We start from the raw sequence: 27,996 nt of genomic DNA, 5'->3' as shown, positions 1-27,996 counted from the left end.
ATAACACGAATACTCTATGACCAGATCAGAGATGGGAAGCCTCCAGCCTAAGCCAGGATTTGAACTTGGGTGTTGAAGACCTATGCTCTTCCCATGAAGTCACGTTGCTTCTAATCAATGTGTCCTCATCGCTCCCCACTCATGCTTCACAGCTCCAGGCTCAAGCAGGCATGGACCCTGTTTCAAGATTCCCTGCCTCTGGGGTGCCCTGTCAACTTCCAGAGCTCTGGCTTTAACTCAGTGCTGCACCCAGATTTGTAGCCCCTCGATGATTCTTAGCCAACTTGCATCCTCTGTTCTGGGCCAACCTTGGGCTTCCAAGCAGCCGGCTAATCATTCCAGATGTGCCTGCCTTGCTCAGTCCGGACTTACAACTCTGTCTCTTAACAACTGCAGCTCACAGTCTACCATGATAGGAATTTCCATAAAGGATTTTCACAGCACAGATGTCTTTCTGCCTTTCAAAGGAAGCTTCTAAAGGTCAAAATGATAAGAAGTGGCAAATTGGCCTGGCAGACAAGAAAAGCATATTCAAAAGGTAATGAGGAATATCGAAAACAGGCACAAATGCTGCTGAGCTTTCAACCCTCGTTTGTAATGAGATTCCTACAAGCCTTCTAGTCATTCCCACCATCTCTCCTTTTTGTACTCCCCGGCTTGACAGCCAAGGCTCTAATTGCTACACTCAAGGAAAGCAAAGACCCACTTGGCTGCATTTGGCTTAAATGGATAAGAAAAATGCCAGCTTGGCACAGTGGCTCACGCCTGTAATCCCAGCACTTTGGAAGACTGAGGCAGGAGGATTCTTTGAGCCCAGGAGTTCAAGAGCAGCCTGAGCAACATACTAAGACCTGATATCTACTAAAAATAAAAAAATTTAGCCAGGCATGGGGTTCACACCTGTAGATCCAGCTACTTGGGAGGCTGAGGTGGGAGAATCACCCAGGAGCTCAAGGCTGCAATGAGCTATGATTGCACCACTGCCCTCCAACCTAGGCAACAGAGCAAGACCCTGTCTCAAAGAAAAGAAAAATGCCATCATATTTCTTGAAGATCTTTCACCTGCTCACCTGTAGCTGCTGCTTTTCCTGAAGAAGCCAGTCTCGTCTCGTGATGGACACGTGCAAGCTGTCCTGAGCAGTGGGTTCCAACAGCCTCGGCTCCATTCTCAGTGGGGTGTGGGTGTCATCTCCGCTGGCCCTTAAAACAACACATACCTATTGGTACAGGTATGCAGAAGCTGAAATCCTCATGTTGACAAGTATTTTAAGAGTAAGAAACTCCAGCAAGTGGCCCCCATCTGTTCTCATACTTAGGAGGGTACTTACCTGTTTTTAGGATGAGCTCCTTAATGTAAGTTTCTACCTGAATTACAATCTCTTGTGATTTTTGCTTTTTCCCCTTAGTCAGAATACTATTATGGGACCTGCACTGTCTGATAAGGTAGCCCCTGACCACATGTGACACATGGTTAGCCCAAATTAAAATGTGCTAAAAGTGTAAAACACACACCAGATTTTAAGGACTTAGTATGAAAATAAAGAGTACAAAATAACTCATTCGTAATATTTTTAAGTTCATTATATGTTGAGATAATATTTTGGATATATTGAATTAAATGTATTGTTAAAATTAATTTCACCTGTTTCTTATTAATTTTGGGGAAATATAACAAGATCTTTATTCAAATGATTAGGAGTATTGAATTCACACTCACTATTTCTGAAATTCACCAGTTCCCTTGCCTTTACGGCATCCACCCTTCCTCTGCTCATTTAGAATCTTCTGCTTTGCACTACTGTTTGAGTCACTAGTCAATGAGAAGGTTGTCACTGAGGGTTTCAGAAGATTTTCTCCCACAATCAGCTTTAATCACAGAGAAATACACTTCTTGCAGAGCCCACATCACATTTTTTTTTATTCCCAGCACTTATCACAGTGTTGAACTTAATAAAATTAGGCCAAGAGTTCTAGAAAATGCAACTGAGCTCCTGGCAGAATTTTCACTTGATTAACTTTCTTCTTAATTTTGTTTTTTTTTTTTTTTTTTTAGATAATGTCTTACTGCGACACCCAGGCTGGAAAGCAATGGTGCAATCTCGGCTCACTGTAACCTCAGCTTCCTGGGTTCAAGCAATTCTCCTGCCTCAGCCTCCCGAATAGCTGGGACTACAGGCGTGTGCCACCATGCCCAGCTAATTTTTGTATTTTTAGCAGAGACAGGGTTTCACCATGTTGGCCAGGCTGGTCTCGAATTCCTGACCTCAAGTGATCCTCCCTCCTCCGCTTCCCAAAGTGCTGGGATTACAGGTGTGAGTCATCGCACCTGGCCCTTAATCTTTTTTAATGTGCGTACTAGATCATTTAAAATTGTGTATATGGCTCACACTAGATTTTATTGGATAGCACTGCCTTGGACTATCCAAACAGGGCCAAATTCCAGAGCTGACCTTGATGGAGATTAAAAGGAGGGGTGACTGATTTGCAGATGCTTGGATGCGAGCTTCTCAGAAAAAATTTGCTAAAGACTGTCAAAACCACTTAAAATCTTTTAGGCTCCTTCTCTTATTCTTGCCGGAGTTGACATATTTGGTGACAGTGATGCTAGTGAAAATGTGGCACAGGTTTGGGCCTTATGTTGGTGAGCTGTCTTTAAAGGAGACTTGTTGGTATTTGTCACCAAAGAATGACAAATTCACCCTTAAAACAATCCATTTCTAATGGAATGCAGGTGGGCAGGAAAACAATTTACCCTAAGCAAAACTACGTCAACAATTCAAGGAAGCTATGTCCAAGAAAACACCATCAACTAAAACTAATAGGCGAACGACAAGTGGGGAAAAATATATTGCTACACATATGGCAGAAAAAGGGATAATATTGCTAATTTATAAAAAGTTATATCAAATTATGAAGGAAAAGACAAGTGCACCAACCAGAAATTCCAAAAAGATGGAATACAGCTGAGCGTGGTGATGCACACCTGTAGTTCCAGCTACCTGGGAGGCCAAGGCAGAGAACTGCTTGAGCCTAGGAATTTGAGACCAACCTGGGCAACATAGCAAGATCCCCCACCTCAGAAATAAATGAAGTGTTAAGGAAAATGATTATTATCCAAAGTTTTTTTTTTTTTTTTTTTTTTTTGTAGGGTGGACAAGGTCTAGCTCTGTTGCCCAGGCTGGAGTTCAGTGGCATGATATTGGCTCACTGCAACCTCTGCCTCCCAGGTTCAAGCGATTCTCCTGCCTCAGCCTCCAATGTAGCTGGGACTACAGGCACGCGCCACCACAGCCAGCTAATTTTTGTACTTTTAGTAGAGACGGGGTTTCACCTTGTTGGCCAGGATGGTCTCGATCTCCTGACCTGATGATCCGCCCACCTCGGCCTCCCAAAGTACTGGGATTACAGCCATGAGCCACCAAGCCCAGCCTCCAAAGATAGTTTTAAATGAAAATCCAAACAACATAAAACATCATCTTTCACCTAACAAACTGGCCTGGCAAAGGTTTTCCCAAACCATAAGTCTTTGGTGAGAGTAGGGAATAAGAATGAGACTTAAAATTAAATATAACTTGGGATTCTACATTCCCACATCCAAGTATTGATTGCATGTAAATAATCATAGTTTTACACAAAGATCGGCTACAAAAATCAGGTTTTTTTCTTAGTAGCCCAAGACTGAAAATACTCTAATCGTGCTCCAGCATCAGGACCTCTTAGCAATGCTAAGCAGCCACTAAAATTAGGTCACACAAGAAGATACACTGGCCTGGAAAATGTTCACTATTTATTGCTGTTTTTTCTAAAGCAGGTTTTATGGCAAAAAGTATGAAATGAACCATTGTAAAAATATTAATAACATGTACATAAAATAAAAGAAAAATATTCACCAAAATGCTATCAGCTCTTATCTCTGGGTGGTGGAATCATTTCTTTCCATTGATCTTTCTAAAGTTTCCATAGTGAGCATGTATCATTTTTACAACTGTAACATAAAATGTTTGCCAACACACACTAAGTAGCTGCACTTTTGATTTAAATATTTTAACATAGCCAATTAGTCTTGTAGCTCTTGAACATGTCTGTGTTTTAAATAAAGCTCATCAATAACATCACCTTCAAGGTCATCTTCCCCTGCAGAGGAGCAGACATCTGTGGCTCTGACACTTGGAGGCATAAACTCAGCATCCTAAAAAGGCCAAATTAAAGCTATCCCCTCCTTCCGTGGCATCTCCCACACAGCTAGATCTTGTCTGCCACCTTTGTACTTATTTCAGGGCTCAATGAGGAGAAGCGTGAAGCTGCATGTTCTTATTTATATATTAACACAGGGTCGCACTGCCTCCGCATTTCTTAGAAAAGAAAATGAGTAACTGATCCTAATATATGTTGTGCTATGTTTGTCTCCTTTTACTCCTACCCCATTTCATTCATTCATTCAGAAAAAGAAAAAACATTACTGAGCTTGCCTGGTATGTACTATGGATTGTGCTTGGCTCTGGGGACACAATGCTAAACAGTTCTTGGTTCTTCCATGGAGCAGGAGAGACAAATGCATCAACAGAAAAATTACAAAGCAATGAAGAAATGGGCAATTGCAAGGCATGGACCAATGATGGTAGACTTTAAAGCTGGGGGAGACTCTTCCCCCTTGCTGAGTCTTAACTTGACACTTACGAAATAAGTGAACCAACCAACCATGGTGCAATGAAGCAGGCTTCATACATTTAGAAACAATACTAGAAAATATGTCACCTCAGTTTTTGTAAGTTAGAAAACAGCAGTTACAGAAAAAGGAACCTTGCTTTTGTTCCTAAGTCTACCAAAAAGATCGGATTCTCTGAATAATCTTAAAGGTCACTTATTGTAACATATGACATAATTTAGAAATCTATTCTTTGTTTCATATGCTTAAAGGCAAATAGCAGCATCAAGAAAAATGTTTAAACTGATAATAATAAAATAAAGTACTATGAATCAAGAACGTACTGTTCACCAGACGTTATCTTTTGATCACATTCGCTTCTCATTACAGACCTAAGATGAAGATGCTATTATACCGGTTTTGCTGATGAGGAAACCGAGTCCCGGTGGGTCAGGGTCTAGCCCATGGCCATGCAGACAGCAGGAAGGAGAGTTTAGGAGTCAATGCGGATCAGGCTGAGTCCCAGGTTCCTGCTCTTTCCCAGATACCACACACCATTAGGTTCTCAGCAAGCCCAGGAACTTCCATCTCCCCTGCCTTCCAGTCACATCCACACACACCCATTGTTTGAGTCCTCTTGGTGGCTATCAGCAGGGCAGTGCAACGTGGAGAGTGCACAGCCTGTGGAGGCAGAGGCCACGCTTTGGGTCTTGGTTCTGCCTTTTTCACACCGTGTCACCGCACTTACCTAATCTCTCTGAACCTTACCTTCTTCATTTTTAAAATAAGAATGACAGTGATGATGATAACAAAAATGTTTTCCCTATGGAGCGAACTATGGGGAACAAATTGACTTGATAAATGACCACTGAGCATCTCCTGTATACAGACCCCACCCTCACACTGGGGCTGTTTGGGGATGGAGACAGAACGCCTCCATCCTCAAGAAGCTTGCTGTTGATCTCCCCAGGATCTCAATGTTTGTATCGGGAAAATGAACACTGTACTCATGTCCAAAGCACTCACTTTCTGATGAAAGATGTGGGCCAGGCATGGTAGCATAAGCCTGTCATCCCAGCACTTTGGGAGGCTGAGGCAGGAGGATCACTTGAGCCCAGGAGTTCTAGTCCAGCCTGGGCAAGACAGTGAGACCTTATCTCTACCAAAAAAAAAAAAAAAACAAAACAAAACTAAAAATTAGGCACAGTGGCACGTGCTTGTAGTCCCAGCTACTTGGGAGGCTGAAGTGGCAGGATCACTTGAGCCCAGGAGTTAGAGGCTGCAGTGAGCTATGATCATGCTGCTGCACCCCAGCCTAGGCAACAGGGCAATCAATACCACAAAGAAAGGAAAGGAAGGAAGGCAGGAAGGCAGGAAAGGCAGGCAGGCAGGCAAGGGAAGGGAAAAGAAAAGAAAAGGAAAGGAAAGGAAAGAAAATAAAGAAAAGAAAAGAAAAGAAAAGAAAAGAAAAGAAAAGAAGAGAAAAGAAAAGAAAAGAAAAGAAAGAAAAGAAGGAAGGAAGGGAAAGAAAGAAAGAAAAAGAAAGAAGGAAAGAAAGAAAGAAAAGAAAAAAGAAAAGAAAGGAAAGAAGAAAGAAAAAAGAAAAGAGAAAGAAAAAAAGATAAAATGTGTCTGAGGATATTTATATGCATCAGAAGAAATGTCTGGAAGAAAACCATCCTACTACTATCAGGTACTGATGTCGGTGGGAACGAAACGCACTTCCTCCTCTGGGCTGCAGAGTCTCAGCCTGTTTGCAGTTACTCGTTCCTGACTGTGAACCTGGAGGGAAGGGACTGAGCTCATCTCATGGTGAGGGCCCCAGTGCCCAGCACTTAGTAGGGGCTTGGCAAATATTTATAGAATGATTCAATGAGTCTGTGTCCTAGAAAATCCAGAAGCCGTTTATATTCACTTTTCTATTGCATTGGATCATTTCTTTGCACTAATTTATTCCCCAATTTGCTCTGCTTATGCTAATAGTACAAGTTTCTTGAATTTCCTAAATAGATACCATCTGGGTCGGGATGAGAGTCATTGAAGGAAATCAACACAGAATTGAAAATTAGCTACAGAGTAGCTACAGGTGGGTAACTGGGAATTCTCTATATTATCATTAATCACATTCATTACTTAATCCATAAGAAAATCCCCTGTGATTAACCAAAACTCTTCTGTCTGTCTCTCATATTCTTACTCCAGGTAGAGAAAGGGATCCACAGATGGCTGAGTGATGGCCCCAGGACACACTGTAGCTCAGTAATGAAGCAAGGGACAGGCTTCCGTCTTTCAAATCTTCTGTCCTCTGAGTCAGGCTTCCTCTGTGTTCTGCAATGTTGTCCCCTTTATATTTAATAATTCTCAAAGTGTAATCCCTGATGTCGCTGCAAATTAGCATCGCTGCTATAAACTAATCAGTATGCAAAATGAGCAAATCCCTCAGGGGCAAGAAATAAAAACATGCAGGGTAGAATGTTAGAACAGCACTCAGTGCCAATGGGGATTCAGGTGTCCAAGATCACACCCGGAACCCACAGTGTCATACAGGTCTCCATCGGCACCACCCCAGTACGGGAAAAATCTTGGCCTTTTCCATCAATAATTTAAAGGAGGATAAAATCCATTCATAAAATAAGATCCTACATCACAGAAAAAATTAGCTCCAAATTGCACAGGAAAAATGTTTTCATTCCATTGACAATTTTTACCATGTGACTGTTTGAATGCATATTTCAGGAATATTGAAAAAAGAATGAAGAAATCGTCTAGGTGTCTGTGGTTCCTGTGCCGGCTTGTTAAGGGGTGCACGCCTGTGATGAGCCTACATTGCCACCTCCTTCCCAGCCCAGCACTCAGGCCCCCTGGGCCCTCTAGTGCCCTTGGCATTGCTCGAGAGGCCACCTTCAGAAGGCTCTGCAAGTGAGAATGTTGACAGGGCAAGGAGAAGCCAGGAAATCCACCTGTGAGAAAATCCTGCACCGGAACTGCTAGTGACAGTGCTGTGGTTTACGCATCTTCACATGTAACACAGGAGGTCCTTCTCTGAGACCCCTAATGTTGTTAGAGTACCAGAAAAATTGCTTTGTGCCACTGCTGGAATCGCAGAATTTTAGTCTCAGAAAGGACCAAAACTAACAAGGCCGATGTTCTCATCATCACAGTTAGAAAAATGCGGTCCTGAGGGAGTGCCACCTTTCAGATGACTATTTCTGGCAACAAGAGTTGGGTATAACTCTTCTGATTAAGGTTGCTAATTGCTGCTCCCTACTGATGACTATCCTATCAAATTTATGTCATATGACTTGTGTGTCCCATCTCTCCCTCTTTGGGAAGATGGTGATAAAGAAGGGGTTTGGGCCAGTCATAGAACCAATGAAGTGCACTTTACACCTAGAAATAGCTTGCTCATTCAATAAACGATGCCCTAAATTACCAAGGCCATTCTGAGAGCACAAAAGAATGTTGTAAAATTGCCAGAGACAATACAGGTAACTTTATAATTCTTCCATATATATATGATTTGGGTCTAAAAAGTAAGGAGCATGGAGAAGTCACATTCCTCAGGAAACTGACTTTCATTGTTTTATACAGTCTTATCCCACTCATAGAAATGACCACCCGGCAAGAGAGGCACATGAATATTTATCTGGGTTCATAATAGTTATGCCTGATGCCACTGGCCTCAGGACAGACTTCAGTTGAGTTTGAACAAAGAGGATGATATGGAAGACCTTTATTTGGGAGCTTTTATTTATAATCCAATAGTTCCAAAACAAGTTCTGAGAAGTCCTCTGTGGCTCACAACTTAGTTTCCCCCCTTGTCCTTTCTCCCTTCTCTTATTGAGGCCATGACTAAGGGTCTGGAGTTGGTCTCCTGGGAGTGGGACACAGGGCATGCCACTGTCTCTTGTGGTTCCCCATCTCCTGATCTGATTTGGGGTTCAGAAATATATCCTGGTTTGTTGGTAATAACAAATATTTTTTTCTTTGCAATGAGATCTTGCTCTGTCAGCCAGGCTGGAGTGCAGTGGTGTAATCATAGCTTGCTACAGCCCCAAATTCCTGAGTTCAAGCAATCCTCCTGACTTAGCTTTCCAAGTAGATAGGACTACAGGTACGCACCACCGCATTTGGCTAGTTTTGTTTTTTTTTTTTTTTTTTTTTTTTTGTAGAGATGGGGGTCTCACTATGTTGCCCAGGCTTGTCTCAAACTCTTGGTCTCAAGCAATCCTCCTGCCTCAGCCTCCCAAAGAGCTGGGATTACAGGTGTGAGCCACCATGTCCAGCCAGTAATGATAATTTTCATGTTGTATCATAGCCATCTCATTTTATATCCTGGGTAAAATGTGTCTGTAACAGTTATTTTCTGGTCTCATACAGTGTATCTTGATTCCAATCTCAAGGGCTTAGAGCTGACCATCACTGAATTCTGTGACACTGAATGCTGTGTTAGTCCCTACATGACAACCAAAGGGAAATAAAGAATCACATGTTTCAAAGGCAATTGAGGAGCAATTGGCCAGAGGAAGAATGACTCTGCCCAAAAGCATCATGGTGCTGCACAACATTCATCTTCTCTGTTCCCATCTCAAAGGAAGCATGCTAGTGGGAAATATGTGGACAGGCAAACTGGGGCTCTGCCTTGATAAGCCCCACTGGAAAACCATGATAGATCTTTGTTTTAAACTTTGTTATATTTTGTTTGCTTGAGTTTGAGGTTATCCCCTGGGAAAAGGTCTTCGATAAAGGACATTTTGTGTGCGCATGCATACAAACACATACATGCACACACACAATTTCGGTTACAAATAGGACCAGTTTTCACGTACATATTGGTGAAGATCCAGTGGAAAAATGCACGGGGTGTATAGTTAGAGAAATGCAATGTATTCATGAGAAAATTATCTTCCAAATGTGTGATGATAGTAGGCCAACTCTCTCTCTTAGGAGAAAGGAAAAATAACTTTCCTTTGATTGGATGGAAGACACAGTAGGAACAGAAGCCTCTCTCTTCTCTTCTAATCCCTGTTGTCACAGGATATTGAGGTAGAAATTTCCTGTTGCTCCAGAGTTGGAAACTAAAGCTGAAGGACTTAGACCTAAACGCTCTGCATTCTGAATCTCTAATGATGGAGTGGGGCATCCTACCCCTGGGGCTGCTCAACCAGCACCTCTGCAATCAACCACCACTCTCAATACCCACCCACCTGTTGGCCATCTAGGAAATGGGTCTTCATGAGAGACGCGTTTTTCTCCCCTACCCCATGGTTTGCCTATCCAAACCTGGCCCACATGGGAGTAAACTCTTCTACTCAAACCCAGTGGGAAAAAAAAAATCCACTAGATTCACTCACAAAGATTGGGGGTGCCCTGCAAGAAGGAAGACTGACATCTAATTCTCTAATGTGGATATCTGTCTATATTTAGGTTCTCTTAACAGCAGAGCCTGAGACAGGGACCTGAGTACAGGTTGATTTTGAAGAAGTGATTCCCAAGAAACTAGAGTGAGAAAGAGGAAAATTCAATAAAAGGTTCACTGTGGAGCTGGTCACCACACGGACAAATGGAACCCATTGGCCAAAAGGTTCCTAGTAGTAGGAACCTCCTAGAAAAGAAAAAAAAAAACAGTGTGGAGCATGCCTCAGAACTGTTCCCTAAGAGGCTGGGTAGGCTGGGGCATTATCCACCCCCACCCCTCCTCACACAGGTTCCGAGAACACCTGTGCAGACAGGCCTGATAAACCTGTTGGGTGCCTGAGTGGAAAGCCGACTGTGAGCACGGTTCCCAGTTGTGGAGGGAATCGGAGGGAGGCCGAGGGATTGGGACACAGGGCACCCAAACTGTCCGCTGCAGCATTGTCTAAGGAACTCACTTCTGATGTGTTGCTGCCCCGTAAACCAGGGAAAAAGGAATTAGAGAGACCTAGCAGGGCAGAGAGGGTCTATTATAGGGTGGCCTGAGCATATACCATTTGTTGTGGCAAAGATACATGAACTTCCCACAGGAATCAAGAGGATATCACAAAAGTTATTCCTCCAACAAGCAAATCCACTGGGCCAGAGGACCCCACAGAAGAGGGGTCAAATGATTTGAGTACCGATATCTGCCCTCAGAGGAACCTAGTTAACCCCTGAAGATAGTTAAAGCTCTCTTGGCTGCTGGCAGGATCTGAACATAACCCAGGGTGCTCTTCTACACGAGTTCAGAGGATTAAACAGTGTTTCTCAAAAGCTGAATTAAATTGTGATTTTTAAGAACAAAGTGACAACAAAAATAATAAAACATAAAGGATCTGATTGTATCTGGATGTTTACAGCTTCTTAAATCTTATCCTAAACTAAATTTTATTAACCTGGGAACCAAAGACCCTCTAAGGAGTGAACGAATAACTCAGGAGATCTGTGAGTCTCCTGAAAATACACTCAATAGTTTTCATATATGTACATGTGTACACGTGGTTTTGCAATAGAGGAAGTCCATAGCTTTCATCAGCTTCTCAAAATAAATAAATACTTGATCCCAAAAAGGTTAGCAGGCACTTATTTGAGTTATTAATTAGTATTTAACATTGTTCATGTTGATACAACTATTTTATTTCTACAGGAAAAGCACCACTCATTCAAAAATATTATATATACCCCTTGACTCGGAGAGCCTGTGAGAGCGGTTTCTGTCCAGGCTCTGGGCTGTGTGAGCTTCAGCCTGCCACCATGGCCCCCTGGTGGTCACTGTGAAAACAGCAGTGGGTAGCTGGCACACTGAAAGGCAGGTTTTAAAAAAATTTTAGCAACTAGGTAATTGTGTTAATATGCATTAGAAAAATTTCAGAAAGTTAATTTCAACTCATTATTTTCTAGTTACGGTAATAATACATAAATAACTTTAGTTTAGAAACCAGTGATCTAATTTAACCCCCTCATTTTCTGATGAAGGGAGTGGAGTTTGGAGAGGTTCAATAACTACACCAAGCCATATACAGCTGGTTGGTGGAAGAGAAAGGACCAGAAATGACCTCCTATCCAAGGTTCTGTCAAGATTCTGTGCAACTCCTTCTTGCTGGCAATTTCAGAAGAAAAGCTGAAGGAGCATTTTCCTCTAGGGCAACTGAATCCCAATAAAGTGAAGTCAGTCTCTCTCTCTCTCTCTCTCTCTCTCTCTCTCTCTCTCTCTCTCTCTCGATATTCACATATACGTTTGTGAACCTATATATAGCTACATATGCATATGTGTCACATTCACACATTCAATGAATATAGAATACAGATTATGGGCCAGACACTATTCTAGTCTCTAGAAATAGAAAGATAAATATAATACAGTCTTGTCCTCAAGGAGCTTATCATCTGTCAGAGTAAACAGATATTCAAGAAAACAGATGTATTTAAGACCTAAGCAGAAGTGAAGTCATTCAAGGTATGCTGTCATTCAAGGGAGAGGCAGTGTGACTGATGAGCAGAGCTTTGCAAGGATATTTGTTTCACTAAGTCTGGAAGAATGGGAAATAGTTGGTAACAACAATGGGGCATGAGCAAGATCATAGAATCTAGAAACATTCAGAACATGGGGGTAACATATAATATTTCAGTAAGTGTCTATTGCAGATGCTGGTAATGTCTAGTTAAATGCTGGGCAGCTGGGCAGGGGCTGGATCGTGAAGACTTTTAATGTCATGCTAAGCAACATGAATTTTATCCTGCAAGCAATGGGGAGCCATTGAGCATAACATAATACTTCTATCATGGCCTTGTGGAAGATGAATGAGAGGTGGTAATAATGGAATCAGAAATACCAGCAAGGAGACCACTGCAATAATCCAGATTTAAAGTGTTAAAGACCAGAACTAAGGCACTGACGTGCAGGTGAGACAAGTGAGTGGAAATGAGAGAGACAGACAGTGGACACAACAGGACTTGGTGACCAATGACTGTGGGGAGGGATGGAAAGGGAGGATCCAGAGATGCCTCAGAGTCCTTGCTTGGGTAACTGGGTAAATGGCAGTGAAAGTCATTCAGACTGGGGATATAGGAGAAGGAACTGAATGGGGAGAACAACGGTAAATTTAGTTTAAAAGATAGCAAACTTAGTAAAAGGCAAGGATAAAGAGATAGTAATGTTAAGGATAAAAAGATACTAAATTAAGTAAAAATAAGGGAGATGCTCAATAGAAAACTGAATTGTGGATTGGAATTCTGGAGATAAATCAGGGCTAGAGATAGAAATTTGGGAAAAAATAGTATAGAAACAGTATCTGAAGACTCAGAGCATTTGAGACCACTGAGAAAGAAGATACAAAGTGAGAAGAGAGGAAAAGCTAGAACAGAAGACAGAAGAACAACAATATTAAAGAGAAAGGGGCTGGGCATGGTGGCTCATGCCTGTAATCCCAACACTTCAGGAGCCCAAGGTGGAAGAATTGCTTAACCCCAGGAGTTTGAGACCAGCCTGGCCAATAGAGTGAGACTCTGTCTCAAAAAAAAAAAATTAAGAAGAAAGGGAGAGAAGGAGCTCATAAGACATTAAGAAGAATGGCCAGAAATGTAGCAAGAAGACCAGGAAGGGTGAAATCATGAAAGCCAAGGGAAATGGGAGTTTTAAGAATGAATTTATTAAAAATTCTAGACACTGCCATGATACATAGCAGAATAAGAATTGAAAAATGTCTTTTAATTTAGCAAATAGAAAGTCATTGCTGACTTTGGTAGATATTTGAGGAGTGATAGAGACAGAAATCAGGTCACAGTGAGCTCAAAAAGTGAATGGAACATTCACTGGCATAGTATACAGACAACTCCTGTAAGGAAAAGGAAAGAGGATGATAGCTCATAAAGTAAGCCAACAGTTAATATTGGCTTGATAAATGTTTAATAAAGGCCTATACTTTTCTGGGGGCCTTATTAGGTCAAACCCCATAAAATGTTTGACAGGTTTCAAACAGTCAAATGTAAGAGATGTCCTTATGGTGTAACCTAATATAATTAAGAATGCATGACACTGGCTTTTAGTTAATCATATTCTATCAAAAACTTAGGCAAGACCAGAATAAAAGCATCACTCTCTGCTATGGTTTGGATCTGCGTCCCCACCCAAATCTCATGTTGAATTGTAATCCCCAATGTTGGAGGTGGGTCCTGGTGGGAGGTGATTAAATCATGGGGATGGATCTTTCATGAATGTTTAACACCATCCCCTGGTGTTCTCGTGATAGAGTTCTCACAAGGTCTGGATGTTTAAAAGTGAGTAATACCTCCCATTTCTCTCTCTCTTGCTGCTCCAGCCATGTGATATGCTAGCTCCCCCTTCACCTTCTGCCATGATTGTAAGTTTCCTAAGGCCTCCCCAGAAGCCAGAGCAGATGCCAGATCATGCTTCCTGTACATCCTGCAGAATAGTGAGCCAATTAAGCCTCTTTTCTTTATAAATTACCCAGTCTTGGGTATTTCTTTATAATAATGTGAAAATGGACTAATACAGAAAATTGGTACCAAGAAGTGGGGCATTGCTATAAAGTAAAGATACCTGAAAATGTGGAACTGGCTTTGGAATCGGGTAATGGGCTGAGGTTGGAAGAGTGTGGATGGCTCAGAAGAAGACACGAAGATGAGGAAAAGTTTGGAAATGCCTAGAAACTGATTGAATGGTTATGACCAAAATGCTGGTAGTGATATGAACAGTGAAAGCCAGGCTCATGAGGTCTCAGATGGAAATGAGAAACTTATTGGGAACTGGAGTAAAGGTCAATTTTGTTATTGCTTAGCAAAGAACTTGGCTGCATTGTGCCCCTGCCCTAGGGAATCTGTGGATCTTTGAACTTGAGATTAATGATTTAGGGTATCTGGTGGAAGACATTTCTAAGCAGCAAAGCATTCAAGATGTGGCCTGGCTGCTTCTAACAACCTATTCTCATATGCATGAGCAAATAAATGACCTAAAGTTTGAACTTATATTTAAAGAGGAAACAAAGCATAAAAGTTTGGAAAATTTGCAGCTTGGCCATGTGGTAGAAAAGAAAAGACCATTTTCGAGGGAGGAATTCAAGCAGGCTGCAAAAATTTGCATAAGTAAAAAGGAGCTGAGTGCTAATAGCCAAGACAATGGGGAAAAGGCCTCAGAGGCATTTCAGAGACCTTCATGGCAGCCCCTCCCCTCATAGGCTTGGAGGCCGAGGAGGACGGAATGGTTTCATGGGCCAGCCCCAGGGCCCCAGTGCTCTGCACAGCCTCAGGACACTGCTCCTCACACTGCTGTCAGTTTTTCCAACTCCAGACATGGCTCAAAGGGGTCCAGATACAGCTTGGACCACTGCTTCTGAGGGTGCAAGCCATAAGCCTTGGCAATTTCCACATGGTGTTAAGCCTGCAGGTGCACAGAGTGCAAGAGTTGAGGCTTGGGAGCCTCTGCCTAGGTTTCAGAGGATGTATGGAAAAGTTTGGTTGTCTAGGCAGAAGTCTGCTGCAGGGCAGGACCCCTCATGGAGAACCACTACTAGGGTAATATGGAGGGGGAATGTGGAGTTGGAACCCCACACAGAGTCCCCACTGGGGCACTGCCTAGTGGAGCTGTGAGAAGGGGGCCACCATCCTGCAGACCCTGGAATAGCAGATCCACTGGCAGCTTGCATCCTCAGCATGGAAAAGCTGCAGGTACTCAATGCCAGCCTGTGAGAGCAGCTGCAGCATCTGAACCCTGCAAAGCCACAAGGGCAGGGCTGCCCAAGGTTATGGGAGCCCACTCCTTGCACCAGTGTGCTCTGGATGTGAGACATGGAGTCAAAATGAGATTATTTTGGAGCTTTAAGATTTAATGACTGCCCTACTGCATTTCAATTTGCATGGGGCCTGTAGCCCCTTTCTTTTGACCAGTTTCTCTCTTTTGGAACAGGAGTATTAACCCAATGTCTATATCTTGGAAGTAACTGACTGGTTTTATATTTTACAGACTCTCACAGGCAGAAGGGACTAGCCTTGTCTCAGATGAGACTTTGGACTTTTGAGTTAATGCTGGAAATGAGTTAAGTCTTTGGGGGACTATTGGGAAGGGATGATTGTATTTTGCAATGTGAGAAAAACATGAGATTTGGGGAGAACATGGGTGGAATGATATGGTTTGGATCTGTGTCCCCACCCAAATCTCAAGTGAAATTGTAATCCCAAGTGTTGGAGGCAGGGCCTGGTGGAAGATGACTGCATCATGGGGGTGGATACTTCATGAATGGTTTAGCACCATCCTCTGGTGCTATTCTCATGATAGAGTTCTCATGAGATCTCGTTGTTTAAAAGTGTGTGGCACCTCCCTCTTTTCTCTCTCTCTCTTGTTCCTACTCTGGCAATGCAATGTGTGTGCTCCCCTTTCACCTTCCACCATGATTGTAAGTTTACTGAGGCCTCCCCAGAAGCTGAGCAGATGCTACCATCATGCTCCCTGTACAGCCTGTAGAACCATGAGACAATTAACTTCTTTCATTTATAAACTACTCAGTCTCAGTTATTTCTTTATAGCAATGTGAGAATGGACTAATACACTCTCCATCCAAATTGCAGGTATGGCTAAAGAGATAATAATATAGCAGCCTTTGCCAGCCCAGACTTAAAAGGCAGCACAGTGCACTGATTCAGGGCCAAGATGCAAGCCAGACAGTTGGGTTTGTGTCTCCCTCAGCACTCACCTGCTGGTGGATCTGCCTAAGTTTCTTAGCTTCTATTGGGCCTGGTTTCCTCATCCTAAAATTCAGGTATAGATGTAGATACAGATCTCTATACATGTAGATATCAATATATAAAATAATACTACCCCCTAGAATTGTCATGAACATTAAATGAGTTATTTTAATGAATGAATGAGCAAACTGTAGTCTATCCATACAATGGAGTATTATACAGCCTTGAAAGAAAGGAAATTCTGACACATGCTATCAGATGGATGAACATTGAAGACACTATACTATGAGAAATGTCAGTCACAAAAGAGCAAATATTGTATGATGTCACTTCTATGAGGTACACAGAGTAGTCAAATTCAGAGAAATGGAAATTAGAATGTGGTTGTCATGGACTGGAAGAGGGGAAGGGATGGGGATTTATTGCTTAATGGGTACAGAGTGTCAGTTGGGGAAGAGGGAAAAGTTCTGGAGATGAATGGTGGTGATGATTGCACAACATTATGATGTATTCAATACCACTGAACTGTATACTTAACAATGGCTTAATCACTTAATCACCATCACTTAAGATGGTGAATTTTATGTTATGTGTATTTTACCACAATTTTCAAAAATGGAAATAAATTAAATGAGTAACTTCTAAAGCATTTAGTAACTGTTATGAAAGTGTTTGTTAAATAAATAGAAACATAATAAATTAGCTAAATTTATTGTGCCTCAATCTTTGTGCCCTATTTTTACATGCTAAAATTTTCCCAAGACTGGAGTAGACGACAAGAAATAACCCCAAAGATAAAAGAATGAGAGAATTACAGAGAAAGTCAATTTGGGAGTGGCCTCATGTGTGAAAGAGGAACACGCAATGTTGCAATGATGTCTCAATGTCAGATTAGAAAAGAATGAAAATGGCGAGGTGAAATTCACTCTCTATTGAGGAGAACCATGAAAAAGTTCACTAAGCAAATAGTTATAAGGAAGCACCTACCAGGTGCCATTCACTCTGCTACATGCTACTGGCAAAACTGAAAGTAATTGGTCTCACTGTGCAGGCAGGCTTCAGGGAGGTATCAAGATAAACTAAATGTATAATGCCATGTACACTTAATAGGAATAGGCCAGAAAATCTTGTGATTGTCAGGACCAATTGGAAGTGGGAAATAAAGTGGAATTGTTGTGGCCATGTTGATAACTAAGTAGAACCAGACCTGAATTGTGATGAGGCTCATAGCATTCATAAAACACCTGTTCCCTCTCAGACCTTTACCTAGGGAGAAAGGGAACACAAAGGTAGATGGAGCAGTGGTTCTCAGCCTTTTTAAGCATGCCAATATCTGGGAGCCACCCTTGCCTCCCACACCTAGACATTCTGACTTAGCTTGCCTGGGGAGGAGCCTGGACATTGGTAGGTTTTAAATCTTTCTAAGTTATTCAAACATGCAGCCAGGACCACAAGCCACTGGATTAGAAGCAGCAACTGCTCTCTATATATTACTAATCTCAGAAGAGCCTTGGGTGACACAAATAGCAAATGTTGCTCAGGAGCTGGAGGGCAGAGTTAGGAGGAGGATGGATTTTCATCGCTCGGTCAGAGGGGACCATCTGTTTATCTTACAGGCTTAATATGATCACAGGACACCAAGCTGCCTCAACAAGAGGAAATTACCCCCACCTTCTTAGAAGGGTAGTTTCCCAAGAGATGCTTCAGACCTGGGATGCAGCTGCACTTGAGAAGGTTCTCTCTCTGTCAAGTGGCAGAAAAGTCTTCTTTCTAGAGATGCATGACCCACATGGGCCATCTCTCACTCTGGAAGAATCCCCACCTTCCCAACCAACAAAGGGCCCTTCCCAGGAAAGGCAGCCAAGGGTCTCTACAGCTAAGCTCCTCCCAGCTCTTCACTATGTGGGAGCTGAGAGGTAGGAAGAAACATGAGGGGAAAATGGTGACAATAACAAGTACTCACTGCTGAGTGGCCCCACGGCGCAAGGCAGCCTGGACTTGTGCTGCCAGGTGACCCAGGAAACTGCTAAGAGCTGGCTGCCTTGAAGGAAGTTGAAAGTGCAGGCTGATTTTCTCTTGTTCCAGGTCTTCTAATCTTTGTTGTAACGTCTCAGCTGGAAACCCAAAATGATGAGAGAGAGGAAAAAAGAACCATGAAATGCAAAATAGATAACCCCGGTGTCTCTTAGCTCCAGTTGTAGTGAACCTTTGCCTTAATGACATCATGACAAGGTTACTAGTTTCTAGGCCAGCACTTTCATCTCTCAGTTGGTACTTCTAAGAATCTTCTTTGCACCAACAAGATGGCTCTCCTATCTTTTATTCTTTTAACTCTCAAAGGTCATTGTTGACATAGTGATATGATGGTCATAATTATGGTCTTCACACAGAGGGATACTTAATATTAATTATTTTAAAAGCACAATGAGCATTTTGGGGAAAAAAACTATAATTTTGGTGAGTTTTATATAATTCCTTTTTTAAAAAAAATCAGTGCCCAAGTTTTGATTTTAACATTTCCTCAGAAATTGCACATCCAGATAGAGCCAGTCACAGTTACTAAAGCCATAGAAATGATGTTCGAATTCTACCATGCTATAGATGACTATATATCCACTTCTGTTGTAAAGTAGGGGTTCCATTATATTTTAATGACCTTAAGTCTACTAGCACAAGGTATAAATATAGAATCTGTGTAATACAATTTTTTCTTAAAAATAAAAATAAACTCCAGATCATTTGGAAGAGTGCTGTCAGCAGATGGTTGATTAGAGATGCCTGGCATTCTGCCTGCCCCCCTACCCCCACCAAAAAAAAGGACCAAGGCAATGAATAAACAGTAAGATTTGACTGGAGTGTTGAAGGGAGGGTGCTGGAGTACGGTGGGGGAGTGAAGATGCAACTGTGATGAATGGCAGTCCCGAAAGGCAGCATGCAGGCACTCAGCCTCTGCAGCCCTGTATCCCCTGCTCAGATTGAATCTGCCTAGAGTCAGGAGGGACTTCTTATTGCATGGAAAAGATAAACAGAAGGACCTCATCAACTCCTATTGACAGAGCAAACACCTACAGTCCTTGCAAAAGGAGAATCTCACAGTTCTTGCAAGCCCTGAGTCCAGTTTGGAGAGCTGCCAGGAATCTGCACAGCTGCATTGCTCCAGATTAGAAGCATAAGGTATGCACTCCCTACCCCTATCCCACACCCTCTGTTGAACCTTTAAAGAATAATTAATACCAATTCTTCTTAAACTATTCCAAAAAATTAAAAGGCAAGGAATTCCTCCTAACTCATTCTACAAGGTTAACATTACTCTGACACCAAAATGAGACAAGGACACAACAACAAAAGAAGCCAACATCTCTGATGAAGAGAGACACAAAAATTCTCAACAGAATATCAGCAAACAGAATCAAACAACACATCAAAAAGATAATATACCATGATCAAGTGGGATTTATCCCAGGAATGCAAAGTTGGTTCAAAATATGCAAATCAATAAACATCATACATCTCATCAATAGAATGAAGGGCAAAAATCATATGATCATCTCAATAGATGCAGAAAAAGCTTTTGATAAAATTCAACATCCCTTCATAATAAAAAAATTCTCAACAAATTAGGTATAGAAGGAAAGTACCTCAATGTAATAAATGGCATATCTGACAAACACACAGTGAACATCTTACTGAATGGGGAAATGCTGAAAGCTTTTCCTCTAATAAATGGAACAGCACAAGGATGCCCAACTGTCACCAGTCTTATTCAACATAGCACTGGAAGTCCTATCCAGAGCAATTAGATAAGAGAGAGAAATAAAAGACATTCAAATTGGAATGGCAGAAGTTAAATTGTCCCTATTTGCAGATGGCATGCTCTTATATCTAGAAAAACCTAAAGACTCTAGCAAAAAAACTCTTAGAACTGATAAATGAATTCAGTGAAGTTGCAGGATACAAAATTAATATACAAAAACCAGTGGCATTTCTATACATGGACAATAAACTAGCTGAAAAATAAATTAATAAGGAAATTTCATTTACAATAACTACAAAAATATTAAAATACCTAGAAATAAATTTAACCAAGAAAGTGAAAGATCTCTGCAAGGGAAACTATGAACCATTGATGAAAGAAATTGAAGAGGATACAAACAAATGAAAAGACAGCCCATACTGATGGATTGTAAGAATTAATATTGTTAAAATAACAGTGCAATCTCTATCAAAATACCAATGACATTTCTCACAGAAACAGAAAAAAAAATCCTAAAGTTTGTATGGAACTACAAAAGACCCCAAATAACCAAAGTAATCATAAGCGAAAAGAACAACACTGGAGGTATCACACTACCAGACCTCAAAATATACTACAAAGCTGTAGTAACCAAAACAACATGGTACTGGCATAAAATTAGATACACGGACCGATGGAACAGTATTGAGAATCCAGAAATTAATCCACATATATACTGTCAACTGATTTTTGGATTTTTGACAAAGGTTCCAAACACTAATCGGGGAAAAGAAGGTCTCTTCAATAAATGGTGTTGGGAAAACTGTATATCCATATGCAGAAGGATGAAAGTAGACCCCTGTCTCTCACCTTATATGAAAATCTAGTCTAAGTCAATCAAAGACCTAAATGTAAGACCAAAAATGATAAAATTATGAGAAGAAAACAGAGGACATGAGCCTGGGAAAACATTTTATGAATAAGATTTTAAAAGCACAGACAACAATAGCAAAACTAAACAAGTGAGATTTTATCAAATTAAAAATCTTCTGCACAGCAAAGAAAACAATCAACAAGGCCAGGCCCAATGGCTCACACCTGTAATCCCAGCACTTTGGGAGGCTAAACGAGGAGGATCACTTGAGCTCAGGAGTTTAAGACCAGCCTGGGAAACATGGTGAAACACCATCTCTACACAAAAATACAAAAATTAGCCAGGCATGGTGGTGTATGGCTGTAGTCCCAGCTACTCAGGAGGCTGAGGTGGGAGGATCACCTGAGTCTGGGGAAGTCGAGGCTGCAGTGATCTGTGATCATGCCACTGCATTCTAGTCTGGGGAATAGAGTGAGACCCTTTCTCAAAAAAATAAAAGATATAAACAATCAACAGAGTGAAAAGACAACCTACAGAATGGGAGAAAATGTTTGCAAACTACCCATCCAACAGGGGATTACTATCCAGAATATACAAGGAACTGAATCATCTCAACAAAAGAAATACAATCTAATTTAAAAATGGGCAAATAATCCGAACAGACATTTCTCAAAAGAAGGCATAAAAATGGCCAAAAATGTATTTTTAATGCTCAACATCACTGATCATCAGGTATATGCAAATCAAAATCACAATGAGGTATCATCTCACCCCAGTTAGGATAGCTATTATCAAAAAGACAAAAAAATAAAATAAACAGCAAATGCTTGTAAGGATGTGAAGAAAAAGGAACTCTTATACATTGTTGGTGGGAATGTAAACCAGTACAGCCACAATGGAGAACAGTATGGAAGTTCCTCAAGAAACTACAAATAGAACAATCATATGATCCAGCAATCCCACTACTGCACATTTATCCAAAAGAAAGGAAATCAGCATCTCAAAGAGACATCTACACCCCCATGTTCTTGCAGCATTATTCATATTAGTCAAGATATGGAATCAATCTAAGTGTCCAACAACAGATGAATGGATAAAGCAAATGTGGTATATATCCACAATGAAATACTATTCAGCCATTAAGAATGAAATCCTGTCATTCTTGGCAACATGAATGGAACTGAAAGACATTATGTTAAGTGAAATAAGCCAGGAACAGAAAGTTAAACATGTTTTCACTCATATGTGGAAGCTAAAATGAGTTTGCTTAAATCCGTTTTGCATTGCTATAAAGGAATACCTGAGGCTGGGTAATTTATAAAGAAAACAGATTTATTTAGCTCCTGGTTCTGCAGACTTTACAAGAAGCTTAGTGCCGGCATCTGCTTCCAGTGAGGGCCTCAGGGAGCTTACAATCATGGCAGAAGGCTAAGGGAGAGCAGGCACATCACGTGGCAAGAGAGGGAACAAGCAAGAAATGCCAGGCTCTTTTAACCAGCTCTCATGTGAACTAACAGAGTGAAAACTCACTCATTACCATGGGAAGAGAATCAAGCCATTCTCGAGGGATCCACCCCATGACCCAAACACCTCCCACCAGGCCCATCTCCAACACTGGGGATCACATTTCAACATGAAATTTGAAGGGGACAAACATCCAAACTGTATCAGGGTTGATGTCATAGAAGTAAGAGGTAGGATAGAGGATATTAGAGGCTGAGAAGGGTAGGGGGAAGTGAAGGATAGGGAGAGATTTGTTAAAAGTTACAGAATTACAGCTAGATAGGAGGAATAAGTTCTAGTGTTCTACAGCAATAGAGAATGACTATAGTTCACAATAGTATATTTTAGAGTTTCAAATAGTCAGAAGGATGTTGAATGTTCCCAACACAAAAAGATAATGAATGTTTAGGCTGAGCGCGGTGGCTCATACCTGTAATCCCAGCACTTTGGGAGGCCGAAGCAGGTGGATTGCTTGAGGTCAGGAGTTCAAGACCAGCTTGACCAACATAGTGAAACCCCGTCTCTACTAAAAATACAAAAATTAGCCAGGCATGGTGGTAGGCGCCTGTGATCCCAGCTACTCGGGAGGCTGAGGCAGGAGAATCACTTGAACTCAGGAGATGAAGGATGCAGTGAGCCGAGATCTTGCCACTGCACTCCAGCCTGGGCAACAGAGGAAAACTACGTCTCAAAAAAAAACAAGAAAATAAATGTTTGAGATGAAGGATATGCTAATTACCCCGATCTGATCACTATATATTATATGTACTGAAGCATCGCTATGTACCCCATAAATATGCACAATTATTATTTGCAAATTTTTTAAGTGGGGAAAAATCAATTGACAAAAAATAAAGATATTAAATTTTTTTATTTAAAAAAATTTTAATTACATATTGCATAATGCTCAAAGAATGCACATAAATAAAATGTTATACAAGTTATAAATATGTTGTGTTTATCAGTGGCTCATTATTAACGAGGATCTCTGGACTATTGATTTTCATTTCTTTTACATGGAAACATTGAGAGAAGGATTCTGTAGATACTCTTTAAACAATTGTTTATGAGTTTAACAGGTAGTGTTTTTTCCTAAGTTAGTTAATAAAAACTTCTCTGTCTATCTAAAAGAATAGATAGATAGATCACCCATGTTGGATCCATGGGTGAATTGAAATGTATTTCTAAAATGCAGGTAAGACTGATCTTTGTGTAGCTTTTTAATTGTTCTGTGATGAATAGGTCATGGAAAAATGAACTTTTGCTATTTGTTGGGATTCTCTCACTGGCCCTTATGTGGCAAGTTTTGGTTGTCTCTCACCCATTACATATATTCCACCTTTGTTTCTTATGGAAAAAAAACTATGCTTTCTGGCACCAAAAAAAAAAGTTGATTCCATTTTCTTTGCTAATAAAGTGTTGGTATCAAACTGTTAAAAAATTTTAAATAAACTGCAGAAATTGGAATCCATTCTAATGAGAACTTATCTTCAAAATCCAATGCCCAAAGAATTAGAAAGTTTCACATAAAACTATTTCTGCAGAAATGGAAGGACTGGGTTTTAAGATACCATTCATCAGAGCTTCCCTTCTGGTGGTCCTTGGCAGGCTAGTGCACTAAGACCTTGATCCTCTTCACCCTGGGGCAGTGGGTGGGCCCAAGGCAGCTCAACATCCCAAGCCATCACCTCGGGCCATGAGCACTTACTACTTAACCCCAGTGTGCAATACAAACATTATCCTTTTTTACGTCATAATGAGAAAATGTTTTAAGAGTCTCTACCCTAGATCACAAAGACTCCTTTATGTTCTTATGGCTCTATAAGCCATTTTCTAAGGAGGCCATTTCGATAAGACTCAAGTCTAAATTAAAACACATTTTTCAACAAGCTTGTCATTTTGAACAAAACCTTTTATCATACACCAGCAGAGAGTAACATGAGTCACAGCGTGCCTCTCAACCTAACTCTTTTCCTGCACTGGCCCATTCCCAAGGCACACACCTGGGTCCCAAAAAGGTAGAGGAAAGGGCAGAAAACTTGTGTCTCTGAGGCTGTTAAGTGAAAGACATTCACATAAACTTGTCATATGCATTGAAACCTATAGCCGGAAACTAAGCATTTACCAACAATTCATTCTAAGGATACTAGAAAAGGTCATCTGTCCAAGATCAAGTCCCAAGTAATTAGCAGATCTCTCAGTCTGTGCCACCTTCTTCAGAAGTTACTGCAGAAGCTAATTCAGACACCCCACTTAAAATACGCAGTAGAGTCTGGCCTGATAAGACCTTCTAGGATAATGCTGAAATGTACCCATTCCTTAACTGACACCAAGCGTTCAAATGTTTATATGATTTCTTTCTTAATACTTTATTTCTTGTTCTACAAAATCAAAACTTTGGTGAAACGCAATAAAGTTCTTGAATTATGTGTTCTAAAATAGCATCCTGATACAGTCATAATGTATGTAAAGATGCATCCAGATCTGTTCCATAGGGGTTAGGAGAAAACCTGAGTCTTCCCCACCTCTGCCACTTCTAGCTGTCTGACCTTCAAGTTACTTAACCTTTCTAAGCTTCAGTTTCCTGCTCTGTAAAAAATGGGGTTAATAATAGTATCTACATCATAAGGCCTTCTGAGGATTAACTGAGATAATCTATGCAAAGCAATTAGCATCATGCCTGGCATTTTGTATGTGTTCAAAAGGATTGTCTATTATTAGTAATATCATTAAGCACTGTCTTCAAATTCCAAAAAAAATTAAAAACCCAGTCTAGCCTCCCTCTGCTATCCACCATATTCTAAACTATACCCATCCACTGCCAGATGAAAAGTTCTCAGAGAGCGCAGGCTGATCCAACAAAATTAAACACTGGAAATGGTAAACTGGCTGCCAAAAATTACACTCACAGTGAATTCCAAAGAAAGATATAAGTTATCGCAGAAAATATCTGTGATTAGCTATGTTCCATGCTGCCACTCACCTTCAAAAGGGTAGGCATCAAAAGCTACTACTTTCTCTCTTTTTTTTTCTTTTTTAAGACAAAGTGTTGCTCTGTCACCTATGCTGGAATGCAGTGGCAGCCTCCAACTCCTGGGCTCAAGCGATCCTCCTGCCTCAGCCTCCCAAGTAGCTGGGACTACTGGCATGTGCCACCACACCTAGCTTTTTTTATTTTTATTTTTGTAGCTAAGGAGCCCTGTTATGTTGCCCAGGCTGATGTCAAACTCCTGGGCTCAAGCAATACTCCCACCTCAGCCTCCTAAGTAACTTGGACTACAGGTATGTGCCACCAGGCTCTGCTTTTTAAATTTTTTTTTTCAGAGATGGGGTTTTGTCATGTTGTCCAGGCTGATCACAAACTCCTGGCCTCAAGTGATCTTCCTGCCTCGGCCTCCCAAAGTGTTAGGATTGCAGGCGTGAGCCACCATGCTCAGCCCCAGTTATTTTTTATCTTATGATTAGAAAAGGGCATCAGGATGGTCACCAGCAATTGCATAGCTTCAGTGATGATCTCCAATTTCTAAATTATCTCCTACTCCAGCCTCTCTCACAGCTCTCAGCTACTGGGAGCTTCCACTTGCCCTGCCAGCACCACCTCTGGTTAGCATAAGGGTGCATCCTACCTCCATTCTGACAAAAGCTGGCTCTCTGGGTTCCCCGAATGACACCCCTATTCACTAATTGGATATTCCAGGCAGAGGGAGCTCCCAGAGAGTGCAAAAGCCATGAGGCAAATACACACTTTAATATGTAAGGAACACTCCTAGTAGGGTGAACCAAGGGGAAAGTAGTAGATGAGGGAGAGAGGGTATGAGAGTGGGCTTGATCTTCAGAGCCACATAGGCCATTGTAGCAGACTTTGGTGTTTACCCCAAGGGAGATGAGAGCCACTGAAGGGTTCTGAGCAGAGGACTGGCATGATCTAGCTCATGTTTAACAGGATCACCTGGCTGCTCTGTTGGGAACACATTGTAAAAGAGCAGAGCCCAGAGACCAGTCACAGGGTCATTGATGTTCCCCAGGCAAGACCTAAGGGTAGCCAGGACCTGGAAATGAAAGCGCAGGTGGTGAAAAGTGGTCGGATTTGAGATGTTCTCTGACAGATCGGACATAGGGAACCAGAAAAGCAAAGTTGCTGTGAGAGGAGCTGGGAGCAGGGTTCAGGAGAATCTGCTGTTCCCATTGCCAGAGTCATTCTTCCTCCACATCCAGCCCAGGCTAAGTCTACCTCATCCATCAGATCCCAGTATCTCCTCCGGTCCTGCCAACCCTGCAGGTAGGCTCCCTGCTCCACCAGCTCCCTAAGCACAGGCAGGTTCTCCTTGACAAGCCACCACACCCTCACCTCCACATGTTCAAGGCCTCATGCATCCACACAAGAGGCGCCATGACACAGTGTTGGTCATTGTATAGTGACCTGCACCTGGGATGCTGCCTGGCTCACAGCAAATTGTTCAAAAAATGAGTCTGATTACAATGAACTTTAGATTCCCTTGTTTTGTTTCTTGTTTTTTTATGTTTTTCATAAGCCACTTTAAATCCTTTTCATTAGCAACTAAATGAATATAAGACATAAATCTCATCAAGTCTTAAATCAAGTTCACTGCCTACCTACCTAGCAAGATGTTACTCTGCCTTGCAAGGGCACTATCCCATCCAGGCCTTCAGCTTCAGATCCTTTGCTTTGTCCCCTTCCTACATTTCACATCCTCGTGAGTCTCTCGTGGTATTTGACATATTCACATCTTCTCCATTTCTACTGTCCCCAGCCTAGCCCGAGTTGTCAGCACTTCTGCAAGGATGAATTACTCTCTGTCTGATCTCTCTCACTCCTTCCATGGTTTCCACACATCACCAACAGAGCGACCTTCCTAACACTCAGATGTGCACAAGCTGATAAACAAAATGCAAAAACATCTGCTAGAACCTGGCATTACTCCAAGCACTTTCATACATGTTACAGGTTGAGCATCTCTAATCCAAAAATCTGAAATTTGAAATGCCCCAAAGTCTGAAAGCTTTTGAGTGCTGACATGATGCCATAAGTAGAAAACTGCACATCTGACCTCATGTGACGGGTCATAGTCAAAATGCAGCCAAAATTTTGTTTCATGTGCAAAATTATTTTGAAATTTTGCATAGCGTTAACTTCAGACTATGTGTATAAGATGTACAAAAAACATAAATGAATTTCATGTATAGGCTTGGGTCCTATCCTGAAGATATCTCATTATATATGTGCAAATACTCTAAAACCCCCCAAAATATTGGAAATTTAAAACACTTCTGGTTCTAAGCATTTCATAGAAGAGGTACTCAACCTGTAATACAAAATCTTCTCAAAGGCCTGGAGGACTCCATGTGCGCTGCAGAACAAAGTCCAAACCTCTGCCCCTGGTATTCAGGACCATAAGTGAGCTCGCTCAGCCACCCTGTCTCTTCTCCATGCCAGCACTCTGCTCCTGAGTCATGTGGGGGAGGCATGACATTGGATAGAACACAGAATCACAACACTAAGGATCAGGGTACCCAGATCCGGGCAACGGCTTTGACACTAACTGTGCATATTCTATTTGACAAATC

General features: G+C 41.5%; 1 protein-coding gene and 1 long non-coding RNA gene across 25 annotated transcripts in view, besides 1 other annotated feature; both read right to left on the bottom strand.

Annotated features, from left to right (window-relative positions):
• The window catches only part of TSNAX-DISC1 (TSNAX-DISC1 readthrough (NMD candidate)), a 512,620-nt gene that overhangs the window by 272,933 nt on the left and 211,691 nt on the right, over positions 1-27,996 (bottom strand). For 6 of the 7 annotated variants that reach the window (NR_028393.1, NR_028394.1, NR_028395.1 and 3 more), the window contains 2 exons: positions 18,264-18,414; positions 1,071-1,200 (listed from right to left, as the gene is read on the bottom strand). This is a non-coding gene — a long non-coding RNA (TSNAX-DISC1 readthrough (NMD candidate)). Of the gene's footprint in view, positions 1-1,070; positions 1,201-17,720; positions 18,415-27,996 lie in introns of those variants that run through there. The other variant, NR_028400.1, reaches the window with a different exon arrangement.
• Positions 1-27,996, bottom strand: part of DISC1 (DISC1 scaffold protein) — a 414,483-nt gene that overhangs the window by 272,933 nt on the left and 113,554 nt on the right. For 14 of the 18 annotated variants that reach the window (NM_018662.3, NM_001012957.2, NM_001164538.2 and 11 more), the window contains 2 exons: positions 18,264-18,414; positions 1,071-1,200 (listed from right to left, as the gene is read on the bottom strand). In NM_018662.3, the coding sequence (NP_061132.2) occupies positions 1,071-1,200; positions 18,264-18,414 (281 nt within the window). Of the gene's footprint in view, positions 1-1,070; positions 1,201-17,720; positions 18,415-22,840; positions 22,937-27,996 lie in introns of those variants that run through there. The other 4 variants (NM_001164551.2, NM_001164555.2, NM_001164537.2 and 1 more) reach the window with 3 other exon arrangements.
• Positions 19,311-19,511: a silencer, noted in NCBI's record as "peak767 fragment used in MPRA reporter construct". NCBI's record gives its function as "represses an SCP1 promoter by STARR-seq MPRAs in K562 erythroleukemia cells {active_cell/tissue: K562}" and the evidence as "EXISTENCE:reporter gene assay evidence [ECO:0000049][PMID:32103011]".

Source organism: Homo sapiens, chromosome 1, assembly GCF_000001405.40.
Source record: "Homo sapiens chromosome 1, GRCh38.p14 Primary Assembly".
Taxonomy (NCBI): Eukaryota; Metazoa; Chordata; class Mammalia; order Primates; family Hominidae; genus Homo; species Homo sapiens.
The sequence above is the reverse complement of the archived record's forward strand: the minus strand, read 5'-3'. Positions and strand labels throughout refer to the sequence as shown.